Source organism: Homo sapiens, chromosome 18 (assembly GCF_000001405.40).
Source record: "Homo sapiens chromosome 18, GRCh38.p14 Primary Assembly".
NCBI classification, from domain to species: domain Eukaryota; kingdom Metazoa; phylum Chordata; class Mammalia; order Primates; family Hominidae; genus Homo; species Homo sapiens.
Genome location: NC_000018.10, coordinates 12224833 through 12237670, shown reverse-complemented (window position 1 = coordinate 12237670; position 12838 = coordinate 12224833). Strand labels below are relative to the sequence as shown.

Sequence of the window (12838 nt, the reverse complement as noted above, 5' to 3'; positions counted from 1 at the left end):
GGGTAAGCAAACGCTCCTGCTTTTCCAGAGGCTGAAACGTGTGTCTTTGGAGCCAATGTAGAAATACAGCCGGAGGTTATTTCAAGCCAAAAGACAGCAAAGGTCGTCTCCTGTGCGTTTCCAGGGGCAAGACCCTCTGCACTGTCCAGGGAGGAGGCTCTCGTGCCCAGTGGTTTCTGCAGGCAACACTGGCTCCCGGCACGGTTTGCTCCCCAGATGGCCCCATCTCTATCAGGAGGCGGTGCAGGAAGGCCTGGGGAGAGCGGTGTGCGCCCGCGGCCACCAGGGGGCAGGCGACACGACAGTTACCGGGCACTGACAAACTCCGCACAGTTCCCGCTGAGACAAAGCACCCCTGGACTGGCTCCCCTGCTGTCCTCACCCCCACTCCACCCACCGGGCCATCTTCCCACATTCTGGCTTGCGTGGAGGTTCTCCAGCCACAGCTGTCAATAGAGGATTGGTGAGACCCTGGGGGAAGCCCTGAGGTTTATCAGCGCGCCTGTGGGTTTGCAAGCGTGTGCGTTCTATGAAGCTCTAGAGGAGGTGAGCTGTGGCCAGTGCAGCCCAAGCGTAGGGCTTTCAGAGCCCATGGTAACAGTTATGTCATTTTTGCCTGCCCTGCGTACGCCCCAGCGCAGGTGCGGCTTCCTGTGTCCCTGAACAATGCCCTACAAGCCCAGGGGAGAGCGTGAAGCTCAGCTCAGCTGAACTCGCAGCTACTTAGCTAGGGAGGCTATGAACATGGCTTCCAGATTCCCCACTCCTGAGATAGGATGGGCCTGCACATCCCCCCAGCCTCAGAAGGACCCTTTTTTGTCATAGGCCAGGGCGAATCTTCACCTCACTCCCTCAGGAATAAGAAACGACACTTAGGTGCTTCACACATGTCATTCACAAGCTCTGTGAGTCAGTGGCCCGTGGTAGAAACTGCTGCTCTACTGTGCCTTATATTTTTCACTCATTCTAAAATGAGCTATGGGATCTTGGGCCCACTCATTACTTCCACTTATCAACTGCATTTGGCCTATTTCATTGCTAGGACTTCTATTTTATAACCCCTTACATGGGACTTGCCACCAGATAGACTCTTTATACCATGATCCAGTTCAATTTAATTCACCGCGCATTTACCAAGAGCCTGCGTGTGCCTGTCCTTTCCCAAACAGCAGTCTGCTCAGATGTGTCCGATAGCCCCTCATTGGCTACGAGATGAATCACAGAGTTTTTAGCACGGCTCGTGCAGCTCCAAGACCTTCCAGCCCGGTGTGCCAGCCCAGGGTGAGCCTCCGCCAGGTGCCAGCTGCTGTGACTGTGGCCATTCCCCTGGACCCACTTGCCTGCCGCCCACGCCACCCCCTCCCGCCGGCCACACGGGCCCCTCGCTGATCCTGAATTCGCTGCACATGTTCATGAGGACTCCGTGTCCTCGTTCCTGTGGTTTCTACTGCTTAGAGTTCTTCTCTTCCTCCACCTAAAACCCACTCCTCTTCCAAGACCCAGCTCAAGAGGGGCCCTCCTGCAGAACCTCCTGGAACCCCCACGCCAACATCACGCACTGCTCCTTCTGCGTGCCCTGCCCTCGGCTGCGTTTCCACAGCACTCACCACTGATGACCTTGTGTACCTGTCTGTGTTCATGCGTCTCTCCGTTTGCTTCAAACTGTTAACTTCTTGAGGACAGGAATGATGTTACACCCAGCTCAGAACCTAACTATGGTAAATATAAAAGTAATAAGAAATGTTTAATATGAGCGCTCAATATGGCCAGCAGTGGTGCTAAGTGCTTTACATATTGAAAGGGTCCTGAATATGCACCCCCAAATGTGCCACTTTGGCATAAGGATTATTTTGAGCTGAGGAAACTGAGAATGGGCATATGCAGGACGAGCTGTCTGCCCTCCCCTTTCCCATGTGAAAGCAGGGCATAAACTCCCCTGTGAAGGTTCCCCCTCTCCACGCCAGGAGGGGAGAGTGACTCTTCTCACTGGAGAGGGAGTGAGCGTGAACAAACCTTGCTAAACTCACCCTCACCTTCTGTTAGCGTCCCCCATATGTTCCCAGCCACCTCTCCATGATTTGCCGTCCATGAAGCCCAAACCCCCTTTTCTCTGTTAAAATGGCAGGTAAGCCCCTGAGTCTAACCATTCCTTTGAGTTTCACTTGTTTTCTGTAAATTTTCATCCACATAGAACATTTATTTAAACAATTTAAATTATTTAATTCATTAAGTTTTGTAAAGACGGGGTCTTGCTATGTTGCCCAGGCTGGTCTTGAACTCTTTACCTCAAGCAATCCACCTGCCTCAGCCTCCCAAAGTGCTGGGATTAAGGGTGTGAGCCACCGCACCACTCAGCCACATTAATTTTTTTAAAATTGTTTGCCTTTTTCCTGTTTATCTGTCTTTTTAAAGTTTAATTTGCAGGGCCCCAGGCACTGAACATAAGAGGACAGATGAAAAGTTCTTCCACTTAGAAAGTTGTGACAGCCACAAGGGGCTCACTCTGGAGGCTGCAGCCGAGGTCTCAGGACACTGATCATGCTGACGAAAGGAGGAATTCTTACCACACCAGCCCCCCACAATTCTGCTCAGAATCTGGTCAAGCGAGAGCGGTAAGACTGACTCCAGTCTTGGCCTTGCACCTCCCCTGAGCGGCTAGAGCTTCTTCCTCCCATCACTCCTCCTTGCACGGCCTCTTACCACTGCATTTATTAAAAAGCAGAGAATCTGGAGGGTGCTGATCCTGGAGCACAAGCCCACATCCACCCAGCTGCCCTGAGGCTCACGAGAGGCAGAAGAACCGTGAGCCACGCTGAGCCGAGCCCACTCTTGAAAATGTCCTCAGTAAAGCCTGATTGGTGTCCGCACTGCAGGACACTGCGTTACTTGCATTTGCAGGTGGTGCCAGTGGGGACAATTGCCCCCCACCCCTGAATATGGGTTTTTGGGAGTGTGGACCAGCTGAGCTGATCGGGGGCGGGCAGACTCCCTCTTGTGCTGGTGGACAGCTTGCCTGGTTGGGGTTGTCACTGACCATGTGGAGATGGGATTGTGTTGAGTATCACAGAAGCCCTTGACGCGGAAGTGTGCAGGAGCTTTGCGGAAAGCAGAGTCCATCTCCTTGACCCTCCTGGCTGTTTGGATGTTCGAGTCCCCCGCAGGGCATTTTCCTCATGGCTGGAACAGCCTGGCCCTTCTCACTGGAAGCCTGTTTTCAGGAAATATTCTGCTCAGGGGATCATTGTGGGGAGACTGGGCTCATGCCCCATCACAGAAGAGACTCCTCTGGGGCCCAAATGCAAACTGGAGTAGCCCAAGGAGGCTGAGGGAGCTTTCCTCCACCTCAGCCATCTGCCCTCGACTAAGGAAGGTAGGAGGGGTTACAGGGGTGGCTTCTAATGAATGAAGGTCCTGAATTTGTTCCTCAGCCTGAGCCTATCGAGAGGAATGGGATAGACTTCGGGGTCTTTATGTTTCTTGCCCCAGAGACAAAACAGCAGAAAAGTGGACCAAATTTTTACCCAGATCTAAAACAGACCTTTATAATAATGTCCAGAATCTTCAGTTATGGGTGGTAGAACACTTCCCCTGCTGAGAATTATAACATAAATGAATTATTAAAAATTATAATTTCATAGTCTTTTTTTTTTCAAGACGAATTGTTGCTCTGTTGCCCAGGCTGGAGTGCAATGGTGTGATCTCAGCTCACTGCAACTTCTGCCTCCTGGGTTCAAGTGATTCTCCTGCCTCAGCCTCCCAAGTAGCTGAGGTTACAGGCCACGTCTGGCTAACTTTTTGTATTTTTAGTAGAGACAGGGTTTCACCATGTTGGCCAGGCTGGTCTTGAACTCCTGACATCGTGATCCGCCCACCTCGGCCTCCCAAAGTGCTAGAATTACAGGCATGAGCCATCGTGCCTGGCCTACATGGTCATCTTTTACAGACATCAGATAGCTGATGATATACCAAGCATGGAATGGGGCCGGGGTCTCGAGGGGAGGGTTTTAGGTTATTGTGACAAGGTCTGCTGTTGCTGACTCACTTTGGGAATTTCCTGAATACAAAGTTTGCACCATCAGACAGCCACTGTCAGGTCAGAGAAAATAGCAGGCGTGTGGTGGATTCAACTGATAAGAAAGTTCAAGTAAGTAACTAGACTTGACCTTAAGAATGTTATTAAAATTGTGTAGGATGTCTGAGTTTTAACCTGCCAGCATAGAGAAACCCTGTTGAACACATGAATGAAACTAGTAATTGAGCTAAACTAGCCACAGAGTAACTCGTTCATGGCTGGTGGGGATGCAGATGGTGTCAGCCCCTTTGGAAGACAGATGGCAGGTCCCCGCCCAGCTATACATGTGCTTTACACCCATCCCACAGTCACATCAGGTGCTCACCCACATGGGTTGAAAACGTGTGTCCACACAAAGCCTGTGCGCAGACGCTTATAGCAGCTTCGTTCATGATTGCTAAGACCTGAGAGCAACCAAAAGGCAGTTCAGTGGATGATAAACCAAATGTGGTACATCCATGCAATGAGGTATCGCTAGTGATTCAAATAAATGAGCTGTCAGGCCACAAAACAGAATGGAGACAACTTAAATGCATATTTCTGTTTTTTTGTTTTTTTTTTTTGGTGCTGTGACTCAGATTAAATTATATTTAATTATATTAAATTAAATTAAATTATATGCATTTAATCTGAGTATATATATTTAATCCAAGTTCAAGCAATTCTCCTCCTCAGCCTCCCAAGTAGCTGGGATTACAGGTGCGTGCCATCACGCCGAGCTAATTTTTGCATTTTTAGTACAGATGGGGTTTCATCATGTTGAAAAGGCTGGTCTGGAACTTCTGACCTCGTGATCTGCCCATCTCGGCCTCCCAAAGTGCTGGGATTACAGGCATGAGCCTAGCCTAAATGCACATTTCTAAGTGAAAAAAAGTCAATAGGAAAAGGCTGTATAATTCCAGCAATATGGCATTCTAGAAAAGCTAGAATTATAACAACAGTAAAAAGATCGGTGGTTACCAAAGTCCAGGCGTGGGAAGGAGGCCAAGCAGGAGTTTTAGGGCAGTGAATCTACTTGGTGCATAATGGTGGGTCCCTGACATTGGATTAATAACGTATCAATATTTATCAATATTGGTTTCTACAGTTTTATCAAATGTACAACACGAATGTGAAATGTTAAAATAGTGGAGACTGTACAAGAATATGGAAATAAAAACTATACGGAGTGAGGGTGAGTCCAGCTGGTGCAGGGGCTGGGGCATCGGGCATAGGAAACTGCAGGTTTGGAGGCCGGGAGGCTGGAGCAGCTGGGGCGGGTGAGGCCAGCAAGTGCTTGAGCTCTTGGCCCAAAATCCAAGCTGCAGCACCAAAGTAGCCTCCTAATGGGCAATACTCCTGCCTAGTTATATGTACACGGGCGATGTGGTGAGCCCTCAGGAAAGTGACCTCGAACCACAGGGTCTTCCAGAGAGCTGTGAGGAAGGGCGGGGGTGCCGCCTCCTGCCCCTGGACTCTGCAGTCCTCCCGAGGGGCTACATGGGCCTCTAAGGAGCTGCTGGTAGCGTGCACTTTGGGTTTAACTCCCTCCTGCCTCAAATTGTGGCCTGTGTCCTCATCAATTCTTCCCACTCTGTTCACTGTGGGCATTATTATGTTTGTGTAAAGAGATAGCATTGTGATGCAATGTTCCATTTTGGATTCATAATGCTCCATACATTTTATATGCCTTTTGGGCATTCATACAGATTCTTTGGCCACGTGGCCATATAAAGCCTTCCCCCTTTTCACGGAGCAGCCCCTCCTGGTTCCACCTGCGTGGTGCTGCTCTTCTTCCTGCATCCTCCACGCTGACCCACGTGCTGACCAGCGCCACCACTCACAAGGAACAGGAAAGACCCTCAGGACTGGGGGCAGCACCCTGTGCCTCTGGGACTCCAGTGGGTACCGTGGGCCGGGCTCTGCAGAGCAAGATCAGCTGGGGAAGGCTCCTCCAGTCCCGGGTCCCAGGAGCCTGCGGTGGCTGATGTGCCACAACTCCATCCATGACCCGGTGCCTGAGACCCCTGAAGGAAACTCCTCTGTCTGAAAGCCCCGCCCTGGATGGCCCCGGGGTGACCCTGAGAGGTGAGGGCGGCCCTGTGGGAGGGCCCTCACCCAGTTCAGGACTCTGAGGTGCCCTCCCAGCTCCAGAGCTCAGCATAGAAGGGGCTGAGTTTGCTACAACTGCATCACACCGAGGCTGATTCTGGAAGTTCCACAGCCACGGGAGTGCCTTCAAAGCAGGAGTCAGCAGAGGGGGCAGAAGCACTAAGTTGCTGCAACAACACCTGAGAGTGCAGACAGGAGGGGCCCAGTCCCCACCCCTACCTGAGAGTGCAGACAGGAGGGGCCCACCCCCAACCCCCACCTGAGAGTGCAGACAGGAGGGGCCCAGTCCCCACCCCCACCTGACTCCCAGTGTCAAGTGCCCTGGGGAGAGCTGCGCCCACAGACATCCTGCAGCTCCAAAACCCAGTCTCTTGTTGCATTTTACTCTAAGCAGTCAGGAGAAACCAAGCCAATTCTCAAGAGACGATAACCAATAGAACCCAAGTATTTGGGATTTGGTGTGGAAGAGGCAGAAAAGAGCAGGTCCTGAGGGAAAGATAATGTTTGAGAAGCAAAGCAAGAAAAGATGATGACAAACACAACACTCAAAGGCCCTAGACATCATCACTTTTTTTACCATCATGAACATTTAAACATAACACATTTTCTTTTTTTTCTAATTTCATCTCCCTCTTCCTTCCCTGGTCTCCAAAGCGGCAGGCTTGAGTGGACTGCTCCCGGGAAGCCACTTTCATGGCGTCCCCTCTCCAGGGTGCCCATCTACCTGGAGCGTCATCATCGTCACTGCTGGAGTCTTGTCTCCTGTTGCCAATCCAAGCTCTGGAGACACAAGTACCACAAGAAAGGTGTTACCCAGAGGCACTCGCCCATCCTCCCTGCTGCACCGGAGGCCACACCAGCTGCCACAGCAACTCCCTGCTCCGTCCTCTGCTTTCTCAGAACTAACCTGGGCTCTCTGGAATCAGAGACCTTCAACAAGTCACTGCTCACATTTGCAAATGTTCACGTCAAGAGAGGACCCCCTTTCCACGTGCCACTCCCCTCTCTTCCGGATCATTGCAGCTCTCCCCACCAGCCTTATCAATGTGGGGCTCCAACCCTACAGGTCAGTGATTCACAAACAGGCACTGTCCCAGGTTGGAGCCACTGCCACGAGCCTGTTCTGCACAGACGGGAATGTTTCCTCTGCCTTGTGAGCGCAGGGCTATCGGGCACTGGAAATATGCCTGATGTGATGAGGTACTGGAGATTACATTTGAAAATTAATTTAAAATACAGATGCACCTGGTTAATGACTGTGGCACCAGGGAGTCCAGAACTGGGATTCAGAGATGAGGGAGACGTCACCTCCCCGCCTCTGGGTTTTCCTTCCAGTGTAGCCATCAATGGCCTAGTGTTATCTTTCATCCAGTACGTACTTCCTGGGCACAGGCATAAGTATCCAGTGCTCTGTGAGACCCTAGGGGTGCTGAACACTGAGTCACATCCAGGTCCTAGAGGGGTTCACATCTGGGGGCGATGTGTAAACAGAGTGAAGGGCATGGCCAGCAAATCCTGTGCTGGAAAATCAGGGCAGCTGGAGTGAGGGGAGGGGACACCCCACTGTCCCCAGGAGCCCACACACCAGCCGAATTTGGCTTTTAATTCACCTTTCTTGTGATGTCTTTTGCTGAATTTGCTGTCATGATTGTCCCGATTAAAAGAGAGCATTGTGTGTTCCCTCTATATCCAGAAGTGTGCATGCAAGATTGGAGTTACTTCTATTTAAAATATGTGATGGACTCAGAGGGGACAGTAAGGATGGAAGTTTGCGTATGGAAAAATAGTTTGCGTTACTTTGTTTTTATTTGATGGTTGCTTTACTTGTGGTGCAGTGCACAGTATATTACCTGTACAGATTGTTGCCTTCTGACAAACACTGTGTTACCACCGCCCAGATATGAACACCCTGGCAGCCGCTCTTTGGCTAATTCCTAGGCAGTAACTTCCAAGAGACACTCACTATTCTGGTCATGATCAACATATTTTAAATTTATTTTTAAACACTGTATAAATGGAAACCTACAGTATGTACTCTTTTGTGCCTGAATGAAAATTACACGTGAATATCATGTAAATTTCACCTATGTTCCATTGTGATGACACATTCAGCATTTTGTACTGCTCGGTCCTGTCCATATATAACATCTACATTGTAGGAAGTTGGCACAATGAGTTTTCACCCTCTATGTTTTACATTCACTCTGTTTATCATGATGGTTATAAGGGAGGAGACCTCCCCTTATATTGTCTTATGCCCAATTTCTGCCTCCAAAGAAAGAAGAAGTAAAAACTAAAAGGCAGAAATGAAATCCACAAGCAGACAGCCCAGCACCACACCCTGGGCCTGGTAGTTAAAGGTTGACCCCTGACCTAATCGGTTATGTTATCTATAGATTACAGAGATTGTATAGAAAAGCACTGTGAAAATCCCTGTCCTGTTCTGTTCCATTCTAATTACCGGTGCATGCAGCCCCCAGTCACGTACCCCCTGCTTGCTCAATCGATCATGACCTTCTTACGCAGACACTTTTAGAGTTGTGAGCCCTTAAAAGGGACAGGAATTGCTCACTCGGGGAGCTCAGTTGTTGGAGACGTGAGTCTTGCCGAAGCTCCCAGCTGAATAAAGCCGTTCCTGCTTTAATTCGGTGTCTGAGGGGTTTTGTCTGCGGCTTGTCCTGCTACAGTTACATGAAGTGACGCTGCTATAAAGCCCCCCAGGGGGACGCCAACATCTTTGCCTCATACATGTATTTTGGACATAGGTAGCAGGAGTGGGACTGTAGGGTCACAGGTACCGATTACTCTAGTACACCCTAGAAAGTCATTTATCAAAGTGGATGAAATTAAGTATGTTCCCAGAGTCACATGTGATAGCTCCAGTTCCTCCACAATCTCACCAACCCTCTGCATTTTTCTCTGTGATAACGTGTCTATTTTGGTGGGTGTAGAAGTGAGAAACTCTAGTTTGAATATGCATTCTTCAGATCATGTGTGATTGAGTGCACTTTCATATGCTTTACTATGCCAAACTTGCTGAGGTTTCTGTGAATTTGACAGACGAAAGTGAGTACATGGTGTGTTATTCTGTCTGAGAAACCACATAACCTTGTGAGTTCCTGCACGACTATTATTTAAGGTGTTTTGTTCAAAGAAGGATTTAATAGGTAAAATTGCACAGGGTATCAAACAATGGAAAGATATTTGCAAGGACTACCGAGAATTCTGAAAAAAAATAGAAAAGACAAATAAAATGGAAACCTAATTAAAAATGGACAAATATTACAACAAAGCAATTACAGAAGGCAAATGTGGATGAATAAAAGTCATATGAACATAGGTTCAGATCCACCTGAGGCAAAAGCAGTGGCTGTGGAGAAGCCCAGCACGTCTCTGTGGGAGGCTCCCTCCACGAAGGGCAAAGGGAAAGCAAAGGGGCTTGGGGCGGAGCGCGATGGGGCTTGGGGCGGAGCGCGATGGGGCTTGGGGCGGAGCGCGATGGGGCTTGGGGCGGAGCGCGATGGGAGTGGCGGGAGCAGCCAGAGCCCCTTGGGCTGGAAGCAGGGAGAGGGATGGAGGTCCGCCCGCCAGCACAGCCCGGGCAAGCGAAACCCGTGGGTTCTCGTGGACACTCCAGAACTGCACACTTATTTCTCAGTCAGGCATGAAACCAGTGAGTGCTGAGCAGACAACTAATGTTGCAATTTAAAAGAATCAAAATAAATTGCTAGTTAGGTTATGGGGAGTCAAACTCTCACAACTGGGAGTATTTAGGAGGTCAACCATCCTGAGGGATTTCCTCAGCACACAGGAACATTAAGTGTGCACTCTCCAAGCACCAAGCCCTCTGTCGTTCAGAGGCAGGAAAGATGCAGGAGGCGTCCTCACTGTAGGAGGGAGCTGGTATCAGTAGCAACCTGGCTGCTCGGCACAAGGGGGTTTATAAGGAAAGTGTGGTTGACGCAATGCTGACCAGTTGGAAGTCACGGAAGAGGCTCACAGGCACACATGGATAAAATTAAATGTATGAGCTTAAATCTCAGAAAAAATAAAAAACCGATGAGGCCTAAAGGGGGAAAATAATTTAATGCAAAAATGCAAACACACTCTATGAATTCTTTAAGTATCTGTAGAGATTATTTGGAAGAGTGGTCCACATTATTTACACTTGGGTTGGTGACTCAGGGATGGACGGAAACATGATCTGAAATAGTTATAAAGGAAAAAAATAGATAAAAGAGAGGCTGATGAGAGTGTGGTGTGAGTAAACTCTGTGCCTAACACAAAGGTTTTAATATACTCAATATATAATAAGTCTCTAAAAACAGGGAAGAAAAGAGTACCAACAAGCCCATGTAAGCATGTCAGAGACATAAACAGTTCAAAGAGAAACAAAAGAACAAATGGCTTTTAATCTCATTCAAAATGTGAAAAAGTTCACATTAAAACTACACTGAGAAACCACTTCAAGACAAAATTTCAGAAGTTTCACATGTAACTACGTTAGTGTGGTTGTGCCCACATTGTTGTGAAGAAAGCTGACTCAGCACCTGTGGAGAGGAGTTTGGCAACATCTAGCAAAGCTGCATAAGCACTAACACTTTGACCCATCGTCCAACATCTCAAAATCTATCCCAAAGTAGACTTGCAAAATATGAAGACTCATGCACAGGAGCATTGGCTGCAATATGAGAAAATGTAGAGCATAGTTTTAAACTCAAATCTCTGTAAGAATCACAATGAAATTAGATAACACTTACTAATAAATAATAAAAATTGCGCAAATTGAAAATTGGGAGATGCAGCAAACAGCATTATGTGAGAGCAATCTGTGAGATTAGTTATTGAAATTAGGAACTTGACACTTTTGGAGGCCAAGGTGGGAGGATCACTTGAGGTCAGTAGTTTGAGACCAGCCTGGCCCACATAGTGAAACCTGTCTCTATGTCTTTACTAAAAGTACAAAAATTAGCCAGATGTGGCAGTGCATGCCTGTAGTCCCAGCTACTGGTGAGGCTGAAGCAGAAGAGTCGCTTGAACCCGGGAGGCAGAGTTCCCAGGAAACACCGACAGAGAGGAAATAGCACACATGCCCTGCTGGTACAGCTGGAAAGCAGGTGGCTGCGGCTCCTTTCGGGAAGAGAGACCTCCCTCCACTGACAGCACCCTTGTTTACAGTTCCCAGATGCCCTGGCCCCTCTCTCACACCATGAACAGCTTTAGAAAACTGCGGGCCTCACACTGAGATGCCCAGGTGTGTCAGGGAGGCAGGAAGGCTTTGGGGTCTGAGGGCAGTGGGAGACAGTGGGGACACTCCTGAGATGGCCCTTCCCAGCTGGGAAACCCCCCAGGGCCTCCAGGGGAGTTCAGCCATCAGGGTGCCCACTGGATAGGTTTGGCTTGCAACGCTGACAGCAAGGACCCCCCTCCACCCACTGGGTCAGCTGTGAGAACCCAGGAGAGGGAGGCCCAGGGACAGACAGGTAACAGCTCTTATTTGCATGCAGTGGCTGTGCCCCCATGAAGGTTTTAGGATCTGTAAGGCGGCTTTGAAGGAGCCCAAGCTCCAAAGCAGTGTCAGGAAGTGGGAGTTGTGTCTGCACCACTCCCTGGGCTCCTGTCCTCATCCTGCTCACCCCCTGCATAGGGGAGGGGGAACCTCACCCCACTCTGCTTCACACACCTCTCTCCTCAGGGGGGCTGTGATTCTGACCTACAGTCCTTCGTCTCTGTTTAGGGTAGCTGTGGCCCAGGCAGGGCCGGCTCAGCCATAAACACACACACACACACACACACACACACACACACACACACACACTGAATAGGCAACTCACTGAAATAGAACTAGTTGATTAATTAAAGCACCTATGGGATTTTTCACAAACCAAATTAGTATTTTTATTAAAAAACTTTTAGTGCTATTGAGCCTAGATAGGAAGAGGCCTACTTATGTAATTGGTAAGAGTGTGATCTGATTAACTTTGTGAAGAATAATGTCAGTATTTTTTAAATTATAATTAAATTTGTCATAACTCAATTATACAATTTTGAGAATCGTATACTACATAAAAACAAAAAAAAACCAAAAACATTGGGGGGATCTATGTATATTGATGATTACTGGAAAGTCATTAGTGGTGGGAATTTTAAAAAATAAGCTTAATATCCATCTAACAGAGAAGAAAGAAATCAGAACGTATCTATAATATGAATTACTACACAACTGAAAAGAATACATTTAATCTACATTAGTTGGAACTAGTAATGTCTACCACGTGTTATAAAGGGAACAAGTAAATCACTATATAATGTAGGATTTGAGCATGTTCTTTAAAACAAAACAAATCAATAAAGCCCTAAAAGGATCAACTATTGAAAGCCTGTCACAAATCCAGAAATGGTAAGGAAAATATTGAAAATTTGACTGTGTAAAAAGAAAAGCTTCTTCAAAACAGAAACAATATAAACAAAGTAAAAGTTATGACACAGACCTTAAAAAAAACTCAGTAATTATATGGAAATAATAAATGTGTAGAACATATAAAGAATATCACTAAATGAATTAGAAAACTAGGAAAACGTATCATTATGAAAATCACAGGGAGAAATACAAACGGCCAACACACATACACAAATATGCACAATCTCCCTAATAAGTGGAGAAATCCAAATTAA

General features: G+C 47.9%; 1 protein-coding gene across 1 annotated transcript, besides 2 other annotated features; it reads left to right on the top strand.

Moving 5' to 3' along the window:
* Window positions 297-376: a silencer, noted in NCBI's record as "silent region_9306". NCBI's record gives its function as "represses an Ori minimal core promoter by ATAC-STARR-seq in GM12878 lymphoblastoid cells {active_cell/tissue: GM12878}" and the evidence as "EXISTENCE:reporter gene assay evidence [ECO:0000049][PMID:35858748]".
* Window positions 6509-8807, top strand: LOC124904253 (uncharacterized). The gene has a single exon (XM_047437982.1). The coding sequence runs from the start codon at window positions 6690-6692 to the stop codon at window positions 7707-7709; it is 1020 nt and encodes a 339-aa protein (XP_047293938.1). The 5' UTR covers window positions 6509-6689; the 3' UTR covers window positions 7710-8807.
* Window positions 11604-12104: an enhancer, noted in NCBI's record as "H3K4me1 hESC enhancer chr18:12225566-12226066 (GRCh37/hg19 assembly coordinates)". NCBI's record gives its function as "activates a minimal SCP1, AML or CMV promoter by ChIP-STARR-seq in naive H9 embryonic stem cells {active_cell/tissue: H9 hESC(naive)}" and the evidence as "EXISTENCE:reporter gene assay evidence [ECO:0000049][PMID:30033119]".